Here is a 23,351-nt window from a genome sequence, read left to right on the forward strand (position 1 = left end):
AGGAAGTACCTGGGGAGGTCACACCCTCAGCAATGAAGCTCCATTCTGCAGGTACACTTTGCTCCCCATACCTGTCAACATCTGCCCTGCAGAAGGGAAAGCAACTGCCTGTCTGTACATCACTGTCAGGCAGGACAGAGAAGAGCCCTCCTCCGGCAACAAAAAGGCTAACGTGAGAGCATAAGCTGGAGTATTCGTTTTGATTACTGAGGATTCTTAGAATCAATCTTATTCCAACAGGGGAGGGGGTGCTCTGGCCAGCCTGGGTTTGGAATGATGTCAGTCAACCCACAGATAATGGGATACAGGCGAGAAGGAACCCTTTGTTCTCACCCAAGGCTTGGTGGGCTGCTGGGGAGAAGAACTGAAATGGAGAGTCAGTAAACAGTTGTAAAAGACTGTGTGCCACTGAGTGTTCTTGATAAATGTTAATGAGACAGGAGCAGGCATTGAGATTGGGCAGTATTGATTATGAGCAGAAATAAAATGAGCTGAACAGTTCTTCACAATCAAAGCCATGACTGTGTTGTGTTTTGAGTATCTCTTGCCGGAGTGTGCGTCCTAATAAATCTCGGGTGTGAAATACGCTGTTTTCTCCTTTCTTTCCTCTCCCGCTTCCACGCATTCATTCTTCTGCTCATTTGTTCTTGCATTCACTCATTTGTTCATTCATTCACCAAATGTTTGAGTGCCCACTGCGTACCCACACAGAGCTAGGCACCAGAGTTAAACTGGGGCATAATTAGACACAGTTGTTTTCCTCTCAGAGTTTATGTACGGCAGTGCTGGGAGAGAGGCTTTAAAAGGTAATTTCAGCTGGGCATGGAGGTGCCTGCCTGAGGTCCCAGCTACTCAGGAGGCTAAGGTGGGATGATCACTTGAGCTCAGGAGTTTGGGTCCAGTCTCTTAAAAAATAAATAAATAAAGCAGTTTCAAGGTATGGAGCTAGATGTGGCAAAAGACAAGGACCTCCTAGTGGGGGGAGGGGGAGGGGGAGGGGAGGCTTCCCTGGGGAAGTGATGGCTGGGCTGAGACTGAAGGATGAGCAGCAACCAGACGGGGCTAGGAAGAAGACTGTCCCATACGAGCTAAACTGTATCCCTGCGAGGGCAGTGGGGGGAAGAGTAGAGCTTCTAGGGCTGTGGCATGGGCAGTGGGCGAGGGGCAGAGAGAAGAGGAAGAAATGAGGCTGGAGGTAAGAGTGGTGGGGATATTGTGGATTAAATCATGTCCGCCTGAGACACATGTTCAGGTCCTAATCCCTGTACTCATGCATGTGACCTTATTCAGGAATAGGGTCTTTGCAGATGGGCTCAAGTTAAGATGAGGTCATACTCATATGAAACAAGTTCATGGATTGAGATGGCCCTAAATGTGATGACTGGTGCCTTTATAAGGCAAAGAAGAGGGAGATTTTTTAAAATTTAAATTGCAATAGTTTGGGGTACAGGGGGTTTTTGGCTACGTGGGTAAGTTCTTTAGTGGGGATTTCTGAGATTTTATTGCACCTTTCACCCAAGCAGTGTATGCAGTACCCAGTATGTAGTCTTTTATCCCTCACCCCCATCCCAACCTCTACTCACCACCTAGTCCCCAAAGTCCATTATATCATTCTTTTTTTTTTTTTTTTTTTTTTTTTTTTAACAGAGTCTCACTCTGTCGCCCAGGCTGGAGTGCAGTGGTGTGATCTCAGCTGACTGCAACCTCTGCCTCCCGGTTCAAGCAATTCTCCTGCCTCAGCCTCCCCTGTAATTAGCTGGGATTATAGGTGTGAGCCACCATGCCCAACTAATTTTTGTATTTTTAGTAGAGACAGGGTTTCGCCATGTGGCCAGGCTGGTCTTGAACTCCTGACCTCACGTGATCTGCCCTGATCGACCTCCCGAAGTGCTGGGATTACAGGTGTGAGCCAGCACACCCAGCCAGCCTCCTCATTTCCAACAAGCTCCTGAGTTGCCGATGCTGCTGGCCTGAGGACCTCACTTGAAGCAGCAAGGTGTCCAAGGATCTGTGATACCTCCAAGCACATCAGAAGAAAATTTCCCCAGTCCTGACATTGATTGCATCTAGCCTGTCTGCCCAGTATATGGGGATGGATGGGGGAAGCTAAAAAGGAGAGCTGGGAGCCCCACTGACCTTCACCTTTAGAAGCTGGGAACACAGAGCCCCACTCCAGGGCACAGAAGGATTTGGGAAAAGTTCCTCTTGAAGTCTTTGGCTCAGCTCAGTGCATGGAGTGGGAAAAGGACTGAAAGGAAACAAAGGCTTCTGAAGAACCAGGTGCTCTCTCCCCACCAAATTATAAGCTCCACCTGGTAGAGCCCTGCCATCTCTCCTCACCCAGGCCCGCGGCATCTGGTCTCCCATCTCGTGCACATTTTTCTTTGCACTCCTGGAAAAATTGAACCCATAAATTTAATCTACCTTCAGGCAGTTTAACTTGCATGGCCAGCACTTACTCAGCAGATAACCACCAGCCTCATTAACCTTGGCTCATTCTCAAGAGTTTTTTTTTCTTTTTTTGGCTGGGGGGCGGGTAGGGAGCTGGTTGTGGTGGTGGTAGAGCTTATGAATTATTCTTGGATGATTTCTGGAGTATTTTAGGGGCACAGTCATTTATTTCATGTTTAAACATACTGGCGTTCCAAGCCCTCCTTGTTGGTATTGTTACGTGTGTATGTGTGTGTAGTGTGTGAGTGTTCACGTACACCCATTTTAAATGCTGACTTGTTCCAAAACCTCTCCCTGAGGGTGTCTCTTACCCACCTAGTATTGCCAAAAGACCTGCAAAACCATTGTCTTGGGTTTTGTTAGACCCATGTTTTCCAACATGTCATCTTTTGGCCACCTACATCAAATCACTTGGAGAACATGTTAAAATGCAGCTCTCTGGGTCCCGCCATGCACTTGCTTTATTAGACTCCCTGGAGCTGGGGCCCAGGATCCTGTGTTTTTATTAACTCTCCCTGGTGACCTTAACACACAGGAACGTGGGGAGTCATTGCTGTGGACGTGGCTCACAGGGTCCTTTCTGCCCATTAGCTGGGTCATCCCACCTGTCTTTGGGTTGTTGCCTTGTTGATAGAATCTAGTTGAATTTATATCACAAAGTACTCCTGCTTCTCAGGCACCACTGGTTGATATTTTATTTTATTTTAGTTTATTTATCTTTTAGAGACAGGGTCTTGCTCTGTTGCCCAGCCTGGAGTGCAGTGGTGCAATCATAGCTCACTGCAGTCTCAAACTCCTAGGATCAGGCAACTCTCCTGCCTCAGCCTCCTGAGAAGCTGGGACTACAGGTATGCCCCACCACACCTGGCTAATTTTTATACATTTTGCAGAGATAAAGGTATTGCTGTGTTGCCTAGGCTGCTCTTGAACCCCTGGTCTCAAGCAATCCTCCCACCTTCCAAGTAGCTGGGATTACAGGTATGAGCCAACACACCTGGCCCGGGCTGGCATTTTAAATGATGATCATGGCCTAGTGCAGTGATGTTTGCTGATCACCTATGTTTCCTCATTGATATGGTTTGGCTGTGTCCCCCTTCAAATGTCATCTTGAATTCCCACATGTTGTGGGAGGGACCTGGTGAGAAGTAATTGAATCATGGGGCCAGATCTTTCCCGTGCTCTTCTCGTGATAGTGAATAAGTCTCACGAGATCTGATGGTTTTATAAAGGGGAGTTTCCCTGCACAAGCTCTCTCTTTGCCTGCTGCCATCCACGTAAGACATGACTTGCTCCTCCTTGTCTTTGCCATGATTGTGAGGCTTCCCCAGCCATGTGGAACTGTAAAGTCCATTATACGCATCTTTTGTAAATTGCCCAATCTTGGGTATGTTTTTATCAGCAGCGTGAAAACGGTGCACTCATGTACTCATGTTCTGCCAACAGCCCCCATTTTCATCTGGGGCCCCTGGACTGAGATATGCTCTATGTGATCTCTCAATGTTTCCCTGTGGGGTTGAGCCCCAGTCGCCCAGAGCACAGACCTCCCCATCCCGCCTTTGGTACTGGTTTCCTTCTGTTGCTATTTCACTGTTCCTCTCCCCATTGGAGCCTCTTAGGATCCCCTCCCAAGTCCACTTGTACCCAAATCCTGATCTCAAGGGGTCTCCTGGGACATAATATGTTTAACTTCCTTGTAGCTCATCTCATTCAGTCTTCACATCAGCCTGGCCATGTAGGAAGTATCAACAGCCCCATTGTATAGATTTACAAAGGGAGCCTTGGAGAACAGAAGACACTTGGCCAAGCTTAAGAGCCAAGAAAAGACTAGAACCTAGGGGCTGGGTGTGGTGGCTCACACCTGTAATCCCAGCACTTTGGGAGGCCGAGGCGGGTGGATCATGAGGTCAGGAGCTCAAGACCAGCGTGGCCAAGATGGTGAAACCCCATCTCTACTAAAAACACAAAAATTAGCCAGTGATGGTCGTGGGTACCTGTAATCCTAGCTAGTCAGGAGGCTGAGGCAGAGAATTGCTTGAACCTGGGAGGTGGAACTTGCAGTAAGCTGAGATCACAACACTGCACTCCAGCCTGGGTGACAGAGCAAGACTCTGTCTCCAAAAAAAAAAAAAAAGACTAGAACCTAGGTCTGCTGGTGCCAATGCCCAAGCTCTTAGCCTCTGCTTTCTATGCTAAGCCAGGGCGCACACCTCCAGGCCTGGCTGGCTTGTGAACAAGACTTTTGACAACAATCTCAGCTAAACTTGGCAAAGTGAACCCCAGCCAAGAGAGATGCTTTTGGATGGAGCCTCCTTGCCCCACCGCCCATCCCCAGCTGGCCCAGACCTAAGCAAAGCCCCATGTAAGCTGACCTCTGGGTCCCAGCAAAATGCCTTTTTCTTGGACTTTTCCTGATGGGAAAGCCTTCCAGGGTTTTTACATTGATTAATTTCAAGTCTGTGATCTTGTTTGCATTGCCTTAATATTATAAAGTTGCACTAGTGCCTACAGGCCATTCTGCCAGGAGCAGAATTTCTATTTTAAAAGAAGAAGTAATAAACCACTCTGGAATGGTGATAACTTCATAGCCTCGTTAGGTCCAGTGTCTCACTTGTTCATTTGGTAAATGCAGAGAGTTCTTGGGTTCTGTAGGCAGGAAGAAGTGAAGTCCAACGTGTGCCTGGCGAACACTTTTTGAGTGATTAATATGCACAGGCCTGGGAATGTGTGATTGGAAGTGTGGGAAGTGTATTGTGGATAAGAAATGGTGATAGGAGAGAAGAACAGCAGGCCAAATCTTATAACCATGCTTTTGGTTTGTTGTACAGTCTTCTAGATTATTCTCTGTACTTACATTCATATATTAATTAAAACACATGTGTCAGGCCAGGCGTGGTGGTTCATGCCTGTAATCCCAGCACTTTGGGAGGCTGAGATGGGCAGATCAGTTGAGGTCAGGAGTTCGAGACCAGCCTGGCCAACATGGAGAAACCCCGTCTCTACTAAAAATATAAAAATTAGCTGGGCATGGTGGCAGGTGCCTGTATTCCCTGCTACTCAGGAAGCTGAGGCAGGAGAATCGCCTGAACCCAGGAGGAGGAGGTTGCAGTGAGCTGAGATCGCACCATTGCACTCCAGCCCAGGTGACAAGAGCAAGACTCTGTCTTAAAAAAAAAAATACAGCACACACAAATGGGATTACACTGAATATATTATTCCTCAACTTGCTGTTTCTCTTCAGCATCTTTTATGGGCCTCTTTCTGTGACAGTATATATGAACTGCCTCATTTAAAAAAACTCCTTATGGTGGAAACTTAAAAATATATTCAAAAGTAGAGAGAATGGTATAATGAATCCCCCCAACTTCAACAATGGTTGACTCTTGGCCAAACTTAATTCATCTAGATCTGTATTCCCCTACCCACATCTGTTTACCCCTTCCTACATTATTTTGAAGACAATCCCAAACATCGCTTACTGCATTTACAAATCTTAGTGTGCCTTATCCCTTTTTAATCATTGTATAATGTTCCACGATAAATAGACCACAATTTGTTTATCCTGTTCCCTACTGATGGTCCATTTTCCAGCTGTGTTTAATATGGGTAAAGATGGAACTTCTTAGCTGTAAATCCAGAACTGAATTTAAGATTTTTTTTTATTCCTCAAGGAGACCTTTGTGCTGAGGACACCAACTATCTAGACTTGAGTGAAATGAAAGCCTGCTTCATTGCTGCTGTCTGCCACTTCCAGACCCAGTGGGAAGAAAGAGATGGGTCTCTGCACCAGGCAGGAGGGGATGGGATTTGCTGTCCATGGGTTGGGGTGGGGTGGTCATCTCCACAGCCTGAAAGGCCCCAGAAGGAGGGCAAGTCAGACTGTCTGGTCAGGGAGGTACAGTTGTTTTACAGGAGGGTTTCAGCAAGCATAAGGGCCACAGAACAGGCTGGAATGAAGACTTCCTTTCCTAGGGGTGTTGTGACAATGACCACACCTTGATGGCTTAAAACAATAGAAATATATTCTCATCGTTTTGGAGACCAGGAGTCTGAAGTCAAGATGTTGGTGGGGTCATATACCCACTGATGGCTCTAGGGGAGGAGGCTTCCTTGCCCCTTCCAGCTACTGGCATTCCTTGACTTGGGGCAGCATCATGCCAACCTCTGCCTCCATCTTGGCATGGCTTTGTACTCTGTGTCTCTGTGGTCATCTTTCTGTCTCTTACAAGGATACTCGTCATTGGACTTAGGACCCACCTAATCCAGCATGATCCCATCTCCATCCTTAACTAATTACATTTACAAAGACCCTGTTTTCTTCCTTTTTTTTGAGACGGAGTCTCACTCTGTCACCCAGGCTGGAGTGCAGTGGCATGGTCTTGGCTCACTGCAACCTCTGCCTCCCAGGTTCATGCCATTCTCCTGCCTCAGCCTCCTGAGTAGCTGGGATTACAGGCGCCCGCCACCACGCCCAGCTAATTTTTTGTATTTTTAATAGAGACAGGGTTTCACCCTGTTAGCCAGGATGATCTCGATCTCCTGACCTCATGATCTGCCCACCTCGGCCTCCCAAAGTGCTGGGATTACAGGTCTGAGCCATCATGCCTGGACTACAAACACCGTGTTTTCTAATAAGGCCACATTCTGAGGTACCAAGTGGACATAGATTTTTGGAGGACACTATTTATCCTATACTGGGAGTGTCCTGGTACTTCCAGTTGCCCCAGGCAAAAGGCTAGGCCTTCTCTCCTTTTTCTGATGCTGAATGTGTTTAGCTATGGCAGCCACGTAGTCACATTGTAGGCCATGGAGAAGTTATAGTACATTCACCTGTAAGTGACTGGGAACCCAACTCTCAGCGGGTGAAGAGTGGGATGATCCACAGGAAGCCTGGAGGGTGGGTGGTGTTTCTGGGGTTGGTTCATTAACTGCATGGGATCAGGGCTCTGGGTTGTGGACTCTACAATTCTCTTGGTTTTTCCTTCATGGTTGCAAAATGGCTGCTGAGATCTAAACAGCGAATCATTACCCACCTCCAGCCAAAGGCAGCTGGGGGTGGCCAAGGTGTTTGTTGTCTTTGTTGTTGTTGTTGTTGTTGTTGGTGGTGGTGTGTGTGTGTGTGTGTGTGTGTGTGTGTGTGTGTGTGAGAGAGAGAGAGAGAGAGAGACAGAGAGAGAGAGATTCCTATGAGGAAGGAGACATCTTTCCCAGAATTTCCCAGGAGTCCTTCCTTTGTGTCTCATTGGTCAAGACTGGGTTACATGGCCACCTCTAGCTGCAAGGGAGGCTGGGAAAACAAGCATCTCTTTTGTTCAGCCTCTGTACAGGCAGGTGAGAGAGAATGAAAGAGCTCAGGAGGAAGGGGCTTCAATAACCTATGGACAAATAGCCCTGCAACTCTTCCCTGTCCATCCCAAATGATCCATATGCTCTTCCATTTCATTACATTCAAACCCTTGCACTGCCAAGTCTCATTATCTTGTTTATCATTCAAGACCTAGGTGCATCAGCTAATGCCAGGGACAGTCTCATTTCAAGGCAGTGTTTGGAGGGCTTGTTCCCCATGAGAGACTTTCTAGAGAAACACTATTAAATCCTTTATCCCTCTGCTGTCCCCACTGCACAATTACAGCAATGCTGAAATGAACAACCTGGTCCATAACTATTTGTACATCCACGCCTATACTCTGGTAGGTTGGACTTTCTGGATGTGGGATGGCTATGTTTGAAAACCCCATACATGCTTGTTGGGAGCTTTCTCTAGGGTGGTGTGAAGATCCCACTTGCTCATCTTCAAGCTGACGGTAGCTCACAGTTTTCAGGCAAAACTGGGCAGGAATATGCATTTCTATCCCTTCCCCCTGTAATCCACTATCTCAGCCCACCGTGCTGTCCCTGTTTTGGCAGTTAGGTTCTCTGATGACTGTTGGGCTGTTGTATACATTATTCATATGTCTTTTTATATCACCTACTGGGGCACCAGCTGGGGCCAGCAAATACTACAAACATGGCACCAATAAAAAAGAATGTGTAATCAGTCTTTAAAAATTCCTTCTTGTCTGCCAAGAGCGGCACGTGGGGGTGGGGAATGAGCAGCTGGCCAGTCCTGCTAATTCAGAGGCGGCTTTTCTCCGAAAATCATGGCTGCTTCACTACCAGCCTCTCCCCAACCCCTGGAAAGAGCAGATCCCAGGAGCCCTGGCTGATTTTGTGAGGGAAGGAGTGTGTGTCTGATGCTGCAATGGAGAGAAAAATAATTTTTTTTAAATGCATTATCCTGCTTCAATAAGTGGGGGGAATTATTTCTGGCTCTGTCTTTCAGAAGCTGAAAAGAGGAGGAACTTGTTGGTTGTTGCTTATTTATTTTTTTCCTCCCATTTTGTTTTATTTTCTAATTCAGGTATAACCTTTATTCAGTAAAATGTATTCATCTTAAAGGTGCAATTTGTGGCGTTTTCTTTAACCTATGTATACACCTGTGGTTGTGAGTGGAATTTGTTCCCCCAAAACATGTTGAAGTCCTAACCCAGTGCTTCAGAATGTGACTTATTCTAAAACAGGATCATTGCAGACACAATTAGTTAAGATGAGGTCATCCAAGCTTGGTGGCTCATGCTTGTAATCCCAGCACTTTGGGAGGCTAAGTTAGGATGATCTCCTGAGACCAGCCTGTGCAACAAAGTGAGACCCCATCTCTACAAAAAATTAGCCAGGTGTGGTGAAGCACACCTGTAGTCCCAGCTACATGAGAGGCTGAGGCAGGAGGATCACTTGAGCCCAGGAGTTTGAGGCTGCAGGGAGCTATGATCTTGCCACTGCACTCCAGCCTGGATGACAGAGCAAGACCATGTCTCTTTAAAAAAAAAAAAAAAAAAAAGAAAAGAAAAAAATGAGATCATACTGGATTAGGGTGGGTCCTAGGCTTAATACAACTGGTGTCCTTATAGGAAGAGGAGAGTAGGACAGAGTCATACGCACAGGGAGAATGCCCTGTGAAGATGAAGGCAGAGATAGAGGTCATGCATTTGCAAGTCCAGAAAACCTAAGGGTTGCTGGACATCACCAGAAGCTGGAAAAGGCCAGGAAGAACTTCTCCCCTAGAGCCATCTGAGTGAGCATGCATTTGCCAATTCCTTGACTTTAGACTTTTAGCTTCTAGAACTGTGAGACCATAAATGTCTGTTGGCTTAAGCCACCTCGCTTGTAGTACTTTGTTACCTGTGTGAAAAGGCCCATGTAACAAGTGCCGAGATCCATATGTGGAACCTTTCAGCACCCGGACAGCTCCCTGGGGCCCCTTCCCCGATGACAGCTCCTTCCCCACCTGGAGTCACCATCTGTTCTGGTTTCTGTCTTCACTGATGGATCTTGCCTAATCTTGAGCACCACATAACTGAAATCATCCAGTTGGAACTCTTCTGTGCCTGGTGTCTTTGATCAATATCCCATGTGAGATTCCTTCCTTGTGTTGCCTGTGCAAGATTACTGTTGATTTTTTTCCATAAACATTGATTAATCACCTGGGATGTGCTAGGTGTGGTGTTAGGCCCTGGGAACACAGAGGATCTAGGGGTTCCCTGTCCAGTTTGGAAGAGAAGATGGTAAATTGAGACAGGAATACTATAGGGAGGTTGCAGGAGAATAGAAAATTCCAGGCAGCAGTTTCACATGACTAGAGGCTGTGGGCTAAGACCCTGAAAACCAGGTTGTGGGCCAAGCTGGCTGAGACCAAATGGATCCAACATGGTGCTGGATTCAACCAAGATTTTACCCAGGACCTCATGATACACGCATTAACATCTTAAACCACACACCCACCAGCACCATGACAGTCCCAAGAACACCTGTATGTGGTATAAAAATGGGTGGCACCACATTTTCAAGAAATCTCCACCTTTTTCCAGGAATTTCCATGAATATCCCACCCCTTGGTCAAAGAAACCCCTAAAGGTGGAAACCCCAAACCTCTTGGCACATCTCTCTTGAGTGCACCTGCTCTCCTCTTTCTGGAGTGTGTACTTTTTGCTTTGCAATAAATCTCTGTACTTTCACTATTTTCTGAGTCATCCTTGAATTCCTTCTCACAATGGTGTTAAGAATCTGGATACTGGCATGTTTGGGACCTTCCACAGCTCACTGGTATCAGAACCACTCCCCATGAGATGGTGTAGACATGATCTGATAGAGCTGCAGGCTGTGGGAGCTTGCAGAGCCTGGGGAAGTCAAGCCAGTCTTCATAAATGAGGCAGGATATTCATGCTGGCAGTTCTGGGAGGATAGACTAGCTTGAGTCTAGCTATAGACTCAAGTCATGCTAGCTATAGACTAGCATGGAGGTGTGGGGGTGCAAGGTTGTGTGCAGGGGAACCGCGAGGAGTCTGCGTAGCCTAGGAATAAGCCCATAGGCCAAATCTGGCTGACCACCTGCTTTTATAAATAAAATTTCACTGGACTACAACCATGCGCACTCCTTTATATACAGCCCATGGTTGCTTTTTTCATGCACATTCCTTTATATATGGCCTGTGGTTGCTTTTTTTTTTTTTTCTTTGTGAGGAAGTTTTGCTCTTTTTGCCCAGGCTGTTGTGCAAAGGAGCAATCTCAGCTCACTGCAATCTCTGCCTCCTGGATTCAAGTGATTCTCCTGCCTCAGCCTTCCCAGTAGCTGGGACTATAGGCAAGCGCCACCATACTCAGCTAGTTTTGGTACTTTGAGTAGTATCGGGGGAACCAGCCCCCAATATTTCAACGTACGTTCTTTCTATTTTCCCTAAGTGTCAGCCAGTCTGAGAAATAAAGAGTACAAAGAGAGGAATTTTGCAGCTGGGCCGCTGGGGGTGACATCATATATTGGTAAGTCTGTGATGCCCACCTGAGCTGCAAAACCAGCAGGTTTTTATTAAGGACTTTAAAAAGGGAGGGGATGTACGAACAGAGAGTAGGTCACAAAGATCACATGCTTCTGAGGCCAATAAAGATCACAAGGCAAAGGGCAAAATTAGAATTACTGATGAGGGTCTAGGTTCAGCTGTGCACATATTGTCTTGACAAACATCTTAAACAACAGAAAACAGGGCTTGAGAGCAGAGAACCGGTCTGACTTCAAATTCACCAGGATGGGATTTTTCACCACCCTAGTGAGCCTGAGGGTACTGCAGGAGACGAGGACGTATTTCAGTCCTTATCTCAACTGCATAAGACAGACACTCCCGGGTGGCCATTTATAGACCTTCCCCCAGGAATGCATTCCTTCCCCAGGGTATTAATTGTTAATATTCCTAGCTGAAGAAAGAATTCAGCGATATCTCTCCTACTTGCACGTCCATTTATAGTCTCTCTGCAAGAAGAAAAATATGGCTGTATTCTGCCCGAAACCACAGGCAGTCAGACCTTATGTTTGTCTTCCCTTTTTCCTTGAAAATCACTGTTATTCTGTTATTTTTCAAGGTGCACTGATTTCATATTGTTCAAACACGTTTTACAATCAATTTTTACAATAGTGGTCCTGAGGTGATACACATTCTCAGCTTACGAAGATAACAGGATTAAGAGATTAAAGTAACACAGGCATAAGAAATTATAAGAGTATTATTTGGGAACTGATAAATGTCCATGAAATTGTCACAATTTATGTTCTTCTGCTGCGGCTCCAGCCAGTCCCTCCTTTCAGGGTGCCTGACTTCCTGCAACATTGTAGAGGCGGGGTTTTGACATGTTGGCCAGGCTGGTCTCAAACTCCTGTCCTCAGGTGATCTGCCCACCTTGGCCTCCCAAACTGCTGGGATTACAAGTGTGAGCCACTGCCCCTGGCAAACCTGTGGTTGCTTTTTAATGACAATGTTTAGTAATTATGACAGAGACCCTATGGCTCACAGAGCCCAAAACATTTACTATTTGGCTATCTTGGTCCGTTTGAGCTGCTATAATAAAGTACTGTAGACTGGGGAGCTTACAAACAACAGAAATGTGTTTCTCACAGTTCTGGAGGCTGAAGGTTTGAGATCAGAGTGCCAGTATGGTTGTTTCTGGAGATGGTCCTCTTCTGGGTCAAAGACCGCCATCTTCTCATCATACCCTCACATGGTGGGAAGAGGATGAGAAAGCTCTTTGGGGTCGCTTTTATAAGGGTATTGATGCCATTCATGAGAACTCCACCCTTATGCCCAAATTGTCTTTTGAAAGCCCCAGCTTTGGATACCATCACAATGGAGGTCAAGATTTTAATGTATGAATTTTGGGGGAATACAAATATTTAGTCCATTGCACCTGCCTTTATACAAAAGTTTGTTTTGACCGCTGGTCTAGTGTATTTCAAGAAGCTATGCTGGGTGCTCTTCAGTTGTATTCCCATGTAATAACCACAGCAACCCTGCAGGGAACCATGATTGCCCTTACTTTACAGATGAGGATCTTCAGGCTCAGAGAGGTGAAGTGATTTGCCAAGGTCACACAGTCAGTGAGAGGAGGAGTCAGGTATGTCTGAGTTGAAAGGACCTTCTCCGGACTAACTGGAGTTACTCTAACAATGGTACAAGTAGGCTGAAGCCAGATAGTGGAGAATCGTGCAAACATTTTGATCTTTGAAGAACAGGGAGCCACCAAAGGCTCTTAAGAAAGACAGTGGCATGATCAGACTGGTTGGAGGCTGTCCCATCCAACCTCTTTGCTGGACGTGGGATCCTAGTGGGGTTTTTACTCACCCAAAGAATTCTTTTAAAAATCGTCATTTAGGCTGGGCGCAGTAGCTCATGCCTGTAATCCCAGCACTTTGGGAGGCCGAGGCGGGCAGATCACTTGAGGTCAGGAGTTCAAGGCCAGCGTGGCCAACATGGCGAAACCCCATCTCTACTAAAAATACAAAAATTAGCCGGGCGTATTGGCACACACCTGTAGTCCCAGCTACTCAGGGGGCTGAGGCAGGAGAATTGCTTGAACCCCAGAGGTGGAGGTTGCCATGAGCTGAGATCGTGCCACTGTACTCCGGCCTGGGCGACAGAGCGAAACTCAAAAAAAAAAAAAAATCGTCATTTATTTGGGAAAGTAGAGAAAGTTTGGACCAATCTCCTGTGAAAGGAAAATATACTGGGCTCCTCAAATCACTATGGTAAAGGGAAAAGTCAAGCTGGGAACTGCTAAGGGCAAACCTTCTTCCCACTCTATTCAAAGTCATCTCTCTGCTCACTGAGATAAATGCATACCTGATTGCCTCCTTTGGAAAGGCTAATCAGAAATTCAAAAGAATGCAACAGTTTATCTGTCACCTACCTGTGACCTGGAAGCCCCCCACCCTGCTTCAAGTTGTCCCATTTTTTTTGCTTCGAGTTGTCTTGTCTTTCTGGATGAACCAATGTTCATTTTACATATGTTGATTGATGTCTCATGTCTCCCTAAAATGTATAAAGCCGAGCTGTCCTCTGACCACCTTGGGCACATGTCATCACGACCTCCTGAGGCTGTGCCACGGGCACAGATACACCCTCGACCTTGGCAAAATAAACTTCCTAAATTAACTGAGACCTGTCTCAGACTTTCAGGGTTCACACTCTCATATTTCAGCTATGGCTGGGGAGCTGGGCTCTCTCTTGACACAACCCTGAGGATGAGTAGTAGAGAGGAGGGGTGCCTATAAGCCCCCTGCCTAGATTTAGATCTGAGCACATAGTGTGTACCAGTGTGTGTCATACGAACATAGCACATAACATATATAGATACATACATGCATAGTGTGTGCCACTGCAAGTTTATAAACATGATCTCATCTCGTTCTCACCCAGACTAGTGAGGCAGGCACTACTATTAGCTCCTCTCCACAGGTGAGGAAGGTAAGATAAGAATCTTGTCCTTCCCAGCCAGGCACGGTGGCTCACACCTGTAATCTCAGCACTTTGGGAGGCTGAGGCGGGCAGATCACCTGAGGTCAGAAGTTCGAGACCAGCCTGACCAACATGGAGAAAACACATCTCTACTAAAATACAAAAAAAATTAGCTGGACGTGGTGGCACCTGCCTGTAATCCCTGCTACTCTGGAGGCTGAGGCAGGAGAATCGCTTGAACCTGGGAGGCAGAGATTGTGATGAGCTGAGATTGCGCCATTGCACACTCCAGCGTGGGTACCAAGAGTGAAACTTTGTCTCAAAAAAAAAAAAAAAAAAAAAAAAAAAAAAGAATCTTTTCCATCCCAAAGTACATCAGCAGTTTCCAGGGGCTACAGAAAGGGTGGATGGGGAGTGACTAAAATAGGCATGGGGTTTCTTTGTAGGGGGAGTAAATATTCTGGAATTAGATAGTGGTAATGGTTACATAACTTGTGAATATTCTAAAAAAAGATTCTCACTTGTGAATATTCTAAAAAAAGATACCATTTCATGCCCATGAGGATGACTGTAGTCAAAATATAGACAATAACAAGTGTTGACGAGGGTATGGAGAAATTAGAACCCTTATGCACTACTGGTGGGAATGTAAGATAGTGCAGCCCCTATGGAAAACAGTCCTGCAGTTCCTTAAAAAGTTAGCCACATGGTCGGGTGTGGTGGCTCACATCTGTAATCTCAGCACTTTGGGAGGTCGAGGCAGGTGGATCACTTGAGGTCAGGAGTTTAAGACCAGCCTGGCCAACATGGTGAAATCCCGTCTCAACTAAAAATACAAAAATTAGCTGGTGTGGTGGTGGGCATGTGTAATCCCAGCTACTCAGGAGGATGAAGCTGGAGAATCCCTTGAACCGGGGAGGCAGAGGTTGCAGTGAGCCAAGATCGCGCCATTGCACTCCAGCCTGGGTGATGGAGCAAGACTCTATCTCAAAAAAAAAAAAAAAAAAAAAAAAGTTAGCTATGGAGTCACCATATAACCCATAATTTCACTCCTAGGTGTAAACCCAAGAGAAGTGAAAATTTATATCCACAGAAAAACTGGTGTACCCATGTTTATAGCAGCATTATTCATAATAGCCCAAAGTAGAGACACCTCAAAATGTTCATCAACTGATAAATGGACAAACAAAATGTGGCCTTATTCATACAACGGAATATTATTTGGCCATAAAAAGGAATGAAGGACAGCCAGCCCCACATATTCATGGGTTCTGCATCTGTGGATTCAACCAAACTTGGGACTGAAAATATTCAGGGAAAAAATGTTTGCATCTGTACTGAACATGTGCAGACTTGTGTTTCTTGTCATTAATCCTTAAACAATACAGTGTAACAACTATTTACGTAATACTTACATTGTATTGGGTATTCAAAGTAATCTAGACATTTAAAGTATACAGGATGATGTTTGTAGGTTCTATGCAAATACTGTGACATTTTCATGTCAGGGATTTGAGAGCAGTGATTTTTGGTATCCGAGGAGGGTCCTTGAACCAATCCCCCAGGGATACCAAGGGACAACTATACTGACACATGCTACAACATGGATGAATCTTTAAAACACAAGGTCTTCAAGAGAGAAGGCAGGTGTGAAAGGTGACATACTGTATGATTCCATTATTGTGAAATGTTCAGGATAAGCAAACCCGTAGAGACAGAAAGTAGATCAGTGGTTGCCTGAGACTTGGGGGAAGGAGTAGAAAGTGACTGCTAATGGGGAGGGGATTTCTTTTTTGGGGTTAAAGAAATATCCTGAAATTAGATAACGGTGAGAGTTGTGCAACTTAGTGAATACACTAAAAACCACCAAGCTGTATACTTTAAGAAGTCAAATGGTACGGCATTTGAGTAATATCTTAACAATAATATAGGCTGGGCATGGTGGCTCATGCCTGTAATCCTAGCACTTTGGGAGGCTGAGGCAGTCGGATCACTTGAGGTTAGGAGTTCAAGATAAGCCTGGCCAACATGGCGAAATCCCATCTGTACTAATTACATAGCACATTTTAGTAGAGACAGAGAAATCCCGTCTCTACTAAAAATACAAAAATTAGCCGGGTGTGGTGACTTGACATAGCTTGCCTTTCTATGTCTGCAGCTCGATTTGACAGGCTGCTCTTTGTTAGAAAAGGAAAGGATTTTGGGGCCGGGTGTAGTGGCTCATGCCTGTAATCCTAGCACTCTGGGAGGCCAAGGTGGGTGGATCACCTGAGTTCACGAGTTCGAGACCAGCCTGGGCAACATGGTGAAACCCTGTCTCTACTAAAAATACAAAAATTAGCCAGCGTGGTGTTGCGTGTCTGTAATCCCAGCTACTCAGCAGGCTGAGGCAGGAGAATCTCTTGAACCCAGGAGGTGGAGGTTGCAGTGAGCTGAGATCACACCACTGCACTCCAGCCTGAGCGACAGAGCAAGACTCCATCTCAAAAACAAAAACAAAAAAACGAAACAAAGCAAAAAAACAAAAAACCCAACAACGACAACAAAAAATAATTTTTAGAGCCTATCATCCATAATGACACAAGGAACACAGTCCAGTCCAAGGTCAAACCCAGGCTGTCTGCTACCCCAAGCTCTGGATCCCAACCTGCCAGGCCCTTGCTTATTCATGGACCTCCTTGTCTATGTCCTTCCTGAGAAATCAGAAATTTCCAGTTTTCTATGCTTTAGAGGGGAAAGCATAGTGATTCCAGAGGATCACACACTGATCTCACAGTGGGTGTGGTGTGACAATGGGATCGAATTGCTGGATGGAATCCCTTATCTGCCGCTCATTAGTTGTGCCTTGGTTTCCCAATTTGTCTCTCGAAGTGTGGCTCTGAGGAGTAAATTAGTTAACACACACAACATATTTTGAAGTGTGTCTGGCTGATCGCAAGAGCTCAGCAAGTGCTTTCCTGAGTCCTAACGTAACCTCCCAATGGGTTTACCTTGCCCGCTGTTTAGACAGAGCCGATTTATCAAGATGGGAGCTGCAATGGTGAAAGAGTAATTCATGCAGAGCCAGCTGTGCAGGAGACTGGGGTTTTATTATTCTTCAAATCAGTCTCCCCAGGTATTTGAAGATCAAAGTTTTTAAAGATCATTTGGCAGGTAAAGGCTTGGGAAGTGGGGAGTGCTGATTGGTCAGGTTGGAGATGGAATCATAGGAGGCTGAAGTGAGGTTTTTGTGCTGTCTTCTGTTCCTGGGCACGATGGCAGAACTGTTTGAAGCAGATTACCTGTCTGAGTGGTGTCAGCTGATCCATCCAGTGTGCAGGGTCTGCAAAATATCTCAAGCACTGATCTTAGGTTTTACAATAGTGATATTATCGCCAGGAGCAATCTGGGGAAGTTGAGACACTTGGAGCCAAAGGCTGCATGACCCCTAAACTAATTTTTAATCTTGTAGCAAATTTGTTAGTCCTGCAAAGGCAGATTGGTCCCCAGGCAAGAAGGGGGTCTTTTCGGGAAAGGGCTATTATGAATTTTGTTTCAGAGTCAAACTATGAACTGAATTCCTTCCTACACTCAGGACTGAACAAAGACAGCTTAAAGGTTAGAAGCAAGATGGAGTCTGTTAGGTCTGATCTCTTTAACTGCCATAATTTCCTGTTACAATTTTTGCAAAGGCGGTTTTGAAGGGTGTCGTTGTCCAGGGTAAATACTCAAGGTTCGTTGTCTTACGCCAAGGAAATTGTGAACACTGACACACGAGAAGTGGGTTTAAGGGTGGAGGGTTTTTTGTTTTGTTTTGTTTTTGAGCTGAGTCTCACTCTGTCGCCCATGCTGGAGTGCAGTGGTACAATTTCGGCTCACTGAAACTTCCGCTTCCGGGGTTCAGGGGATTCTGCCTCAGCCTCCCAGGTAGCCTAGATTACAGGCGCAGGTCACCACGCCCGGCTAATTTTTGTATTTTTAGTAGAGACAGGATTTTGCCATTTTTGCTGGGCTGGTCTTGAACTTCTGACCTCAGGTGATCCATCTGCCTCAGCCTCCCAGAGTGCTAGGATTACGGGCATGAGCCACCACAACCAGCAGAGGAGCAGAGGTTTAACAGGCAAAAGAGAGGCCGGGTGGTGCCTCATGACTGTAATCCCAGCAATTTGGGAGGCCAAGGAGGGCGGATCACAAGGTCAAGAGATCAAGACCATCCTGGCCAACATGGTGAAATCCCGTCTCTACTAAAGATACAAAAATTATCTGGTCAAGGTGGCGCTTGCCTGTAGTCCCAGTGTGTCCAGAATTGGTGGGTTCTTGGTCTCACTGACTTCAAGAATGAAGCCGCGAACGCTCGCGGTGAATGTCACAGTTCTTAAAGGCGGTGTGTCCGGAGTTTGTTCCTTCTGATGTTCGGATGTGTTTGGAGATTCTTCCTTCTGGTGGGTTTGTGGTCTCGCTGGCTCAGGAGTGAAGCTGCAGACCTTCGCCGTGAGTGTTACAGCTCTTAAGGCAGTGCGTCTGGAGTTGTTCGTTTCTCCCGGTGGGTTCGTGGTCTCGCTGGCTTCAGGAACGAAGCTGCAGACCTTCCGGTGAGTGTTACAGCTCATAAAGGCAGTGTGGACCCAAGGAGTGAGCAGCAGCAGGTTTTATTGCAAAGAGCGAAAGAACAAAGCTCCCACAGTGTGAAAAGAGACCCCAGCTAGTTGCCACTGCTAGCTGGGGCAGCCTGCTTTTATTCTCTTAACTGGCCCCACCCACATCCTGCTGATTGGTAGAGCCCAGTGGTCTGTTTTGACAGGGTGCTGATTGGTGCGTTTACAATCCCTGAGCTAGACACAAAGGTTCTCCAGGTCCCCACCAGATTAGCTAGATACAGAGTGTCGACATAAAGGTTCTCCAAGTCCCCACCAGAGTAGCTAGATACAGCATGTCCATTGGTGCGTTCACAAACCCTGAGATAGACACAGGGTGCTGATTGGTGTTTTCATAAACCTTGAGCTAGAGACAGAGTGCTGATTGGTGTATTTACAATCCCTTAGCTAGACATAAAGGTTCTCCAAGTTCCCACTAGACTCAAGAGCCCAGCTGGCTTCACCCAGTGGATCCCGCACCGGGGCTGCAGGTGGAGCTGCCTACCAGTCCCGCGCCATGCATCCGCACTCCTCAGCCCTTGGGTGGTCGATGGGACTGGGTGCCCTGGAGCAGGGAGTGGCGCTCGTTGGGGAGGCTCCGGCAGCACAGGAGCGCACGGAGGCGGCGGGGAGGCTCAGGCATGGCGGGCTGCAGGTCCGGAGCCCTGCCCCGCGGGAAGGCAGCTAAGGTCCGGCGAGAAATTGAGCACAGCACCTGCTGGCCCAGGTGCTAAGCTCCTCACTGCCCGGGGCCAGTGGGGCCTGCCGGCCGCTCCGAGTGCGGGGTCCGCCGAGCCCACAACCACCCGGAACTCACACTGGCCGGCAAGCACCCCGGCAGCCCAGGTTCCCACCTGCGCCTCTCCCTCCACACCTCCCGGCTAGCTGAGGGAGCCGTCTGCGGCTTTGGCCAGCCCAGAAAGGGGCTCCCACAGTGCAGCGGCGGACTGAAGGGCTCCTGAAGTGCCACCAAAGTGGGAGTCCAGGCAGAGGAGGCGTCTAGAGCGAGCGAGGGCTGTGAGGACTGCCAGCACGCTGTCACCTCTCACCAGCTATTTGAGAGGCTTAGGCAGAATTGCTTGAACCCAGGAGGTGGAGCTTCCAGTGGGCCGAGATTGCACCACTGCACTCCGGTGTGGGCAACAGAGCGAGACTCCATCTCAAAAAAAAAAAAAAAAAAAAAAAAAAGAAAGAAAAAGAAAAAAAAAGGAAAGGAGAATAGCCTTATCTCCTGCAAGAGAGAGGGGGGCGCCCTAGTGGGATTTCTGGTTTTGCGGTGAAGGGCACGATTTTTTTTTGTTTTTTTGTTTTGAGATGGAGTCTCCCTCTGTGGCCCAGGCTGGAGTGCAGTGGCCCGATCTTGGCTCACTGCAAATTCTGCCTCCCAGGTTCAGGCCATTCTCCTGCCTCAGCCTCCTGAGTAGCTGGGACTACAGGTGCCCGCCACTAAGCCTGGCTAATTTTTTTTTGTATTTTTTAGTAGAGACAGGGTTTCACCGTGTTAGCCAGGATGGTCTCCATCTCCTGACCTCGTGATCCACCCGCCTCGGCCTCCCAAAGTGCTGGGATTACAGGCGTGAGCCACCGTGCCCAGCCGAGCACGGGTTTTTATAGACTGGTTTGAGGAGGCGGTGTCTGATTTACATAGGACCCAAAGATTGGTTGGACCAGATGTGATATTTACATAGCACTTTGGGAAGCTGGCTGTCCCACCCTAATCTACCATTATGTAGATAGGGTCTTTGCCAGGCCAGAGCCATGTTGCCTGCTCCTTACTGTGTACACGTGGTTTACAAAGAAAAGGGAAGATGGAGCCGCCATTTTGAATATGCTTACTCCCCAGGTAGCCCATTTCCTGTTGGCACAACTGCCCGTATTAACCTGCACAAGCTTCTGGGTTGCCTTTCTATGTCTGCAGCCTGATTTTACAGGCTGCTGTTTGTTAGAAAAGAAAATGATTTTGGGGCCGAGGGCGGTGGCTCACGGCAGTAATCCCAGCATTTTGGGAGGCCAAGGTGGGCGGATCACCTGAGTTCAAGAGTTCGAGACTAGCCTGGTCAACATGGTGAAACCCTGACTCTACTAACAATACAAAAATTAGCTGGGCGTGGTGGGACACACCTGTAGCGCAGCTACTCCGGAGGCTGAGGCAGGAGAATCACTTGAGCCCAGGAGGTGGAGTTTTCAGTGGAGATTGCGCCACTGCACTCCAGCCTGGGTGACAGGGCGAGACTCCATACCAAAAAAAAAAAAAAAAAAAAAAAAAGAAAATGATTTTGGGGCTTTTTATTAAAAGAGAAACCTTACCGAGGACTTTGTTACCCTCGCTATCTGCCTAAATAATTTCTTCTTAACTCTTGTAATAGTGTTGGTAATAACGTTCAAAATCCTAAGGAAATTGAACACTCAAAGGATTTTTAGCAAAGAGATTTTACTTCTGCGCAAAGGGGTGCTTCTCCTTGGCCAGTCGCCATGAGAGTACACCTGAACAAAGAGGCACTAGAGCCTTTATTCCTGACGCAAGTCCTGCCTCTGTACCCTTTCCCCATTGGCCGGAGTCGGGTTGTACAGTCTAAACTAATCCCCGTTGGCTAAACATTTAAACTTTTTTTAGATAAGGTGGGCACGTAAGGGAGAGAGGGAAAGGGGAAGGGGTGTCTGCAATGAGCTAGAAAGCTAGTCTTCTTTCCAAATAAGGAAAGGAATGTGAGTTGGTACTGATAACGCCTGGTACTGTGGCGTGTCTAGGCATATAACCAAGGCAGAAAGGAAGAAAAAAAGAGAAAAAGGAAAAAGGGGTGGAGGGGGTACTAGGAATTAAAAAATAAAGGATTGATCAGGCTATTTAAAGAGAAACCTCATCATATCCCACAACAGTTTCACTAGTTCTCAGCTGCCTGGATGTGGACCCTGGCTCACCCCCTTTGAGCTCAGGTGGGTCTGGGCTGCCTCACCTGGTTATCCTGGAGATAAGTGGTGAGACCTGGCTGATGCTGTGCTCTCGGTCCAAAGGTGAGAAAACACCCCCCTGGACTGATGACATTGAGTTCAACCTTTGTTCCTCGTATACTCGGTGTTTTGAATTCTTTACATCCCTGATTTTGGGCAAAGTGTAACTAAAGCTTTAAAAGGTCTGATGGTACATGGGCCACATAGTAATCACTGTGAGTTTTAATATTCAAATTAGAATCTGAGTGAACTTGGATAATCAAAAACTTTTGAATTCTACTCTCCATTCTCTGCTTGGTCTCCTCAAGGCTGAATAGCTTTGAAATGGCCATAAATTTGCATAATGGCTTGCATAAAGCTAATCACTTTAGGTCTGGGAGCATTTTTGCCTGGGGCTGTCCTAGTCCTCTTCTGCTTCCTTAGCCGACACATAAAATGAAATAATTGGGAGTTTTTTTAGGTAGAAGAAGGACTGTTGAAGAGTCTAGCCATGGCCTATTTGGAGGATCAGAGGACAGACCAGGCTTCAGAATGAGACTGTGTTGGAATCTGTTCCTCCTGGCTGTTTTGGGATGTGTTGGGTGAGGGTGTGGAATCCAGAGAAGACTAGAGAGGCTTCCATATTGATGGGAAGAAACTTCCTCTCTGAGTCTGCCTTGAAAGGGGGCACTGGCTGACTCCCTTTGGGCTGGTGAATGCCATGTAGCCAGTGAAATCCAGGAAGGTTTTCCAGACATTTTTGTGTGTTCTTCTCAGGTGCCCCAAGTTTCCCAGGAGTCCAACCACTGGAGAGCGGTCGTAGTGACAACTCTATTTCCATGCTACTTCAGTTTAGACATTTTATTTTAATTAATTAATTAATTATTTTTGAGACAGAGTCATGCTGTGTCCTCCAGGCTGGAATGCAGTAGTGTGAACACAGCTCTCTCTAGCCTTGGCCTCCTGGGCTCAAGCGATCCTCCTGCCTCAGTGTCCTGAGTAGCTAGGACCACAGGTACATGCCACCACACCTGGCTATTTTTTTTTTTTTTTAGATGGAGTTTCGCTCTTTGTTACCCAGGCTGGAGTGCAATGGTGCGATCTTGGCTCACTGCAACCTCTGCCTACTGGGTTCAAGTGATTCTCCTGTCTCAGCCTCCTGACTAGCTGGGATTACAGGTATGTGCCACCATGCCTGGCTAATTTTTTGTATTTTTAGTAGAGACAGGGTTTCACCATATCGGCCAAGCTGGTCTCGAACTCCTGACCTCAGGTGATCCACCCGCCTTGGCCTCCCAAAGTGCTGGGATTACAGGTGTGAGCCACTGTGCCTGGCCCACACCTGGCTAATTTTTTGATTTTTGTAGAGATGAGGGTCTTGCTTTGTTGTTCAGGCTGATCTTGAACACCTGGACTCAAGTGATCCTCCTGCCTCAGCCTGCCAGAGTGCTGGTATTACAGGCATGAGCCACTGCATCCAGCCCTATACATTGGTTTTTTTGAGACAGAGTCTCTCTCTGAGACCCAGGCTAGAGTGCAGTGGCATGAT

General features: G+C 46.9%; 1 annotated feature.

Moving 5' to 3' along the window:
• Positions 9,475–9,675: a silencer, noted in NCBI's record as "peak2477 fragment used in MPRA reporter construct". NCBI's record gives its function as "represses an SCP1 promoter by STARR-seq MPRAs in K562 erythroleukemia cells {active_cell/tissue: K562}" and the evidence as "EXISTENCE:reporter gene assay evidence [ECO:0000049][PMID:32103011]".

The sequence above is a fragment of the Homo sapiens genome, chromosome 16 (genome assembly GCF_000001405.40).
Source record: "Homo sapiens chromosome 16, GRCh38.p14 Primary Assembly".
Taxonomy (NCBI): Eukaryota; Metazoa; Chordata; class Mammalia; order Primates; family Hominidae; genus Homo; species Homo sapiens.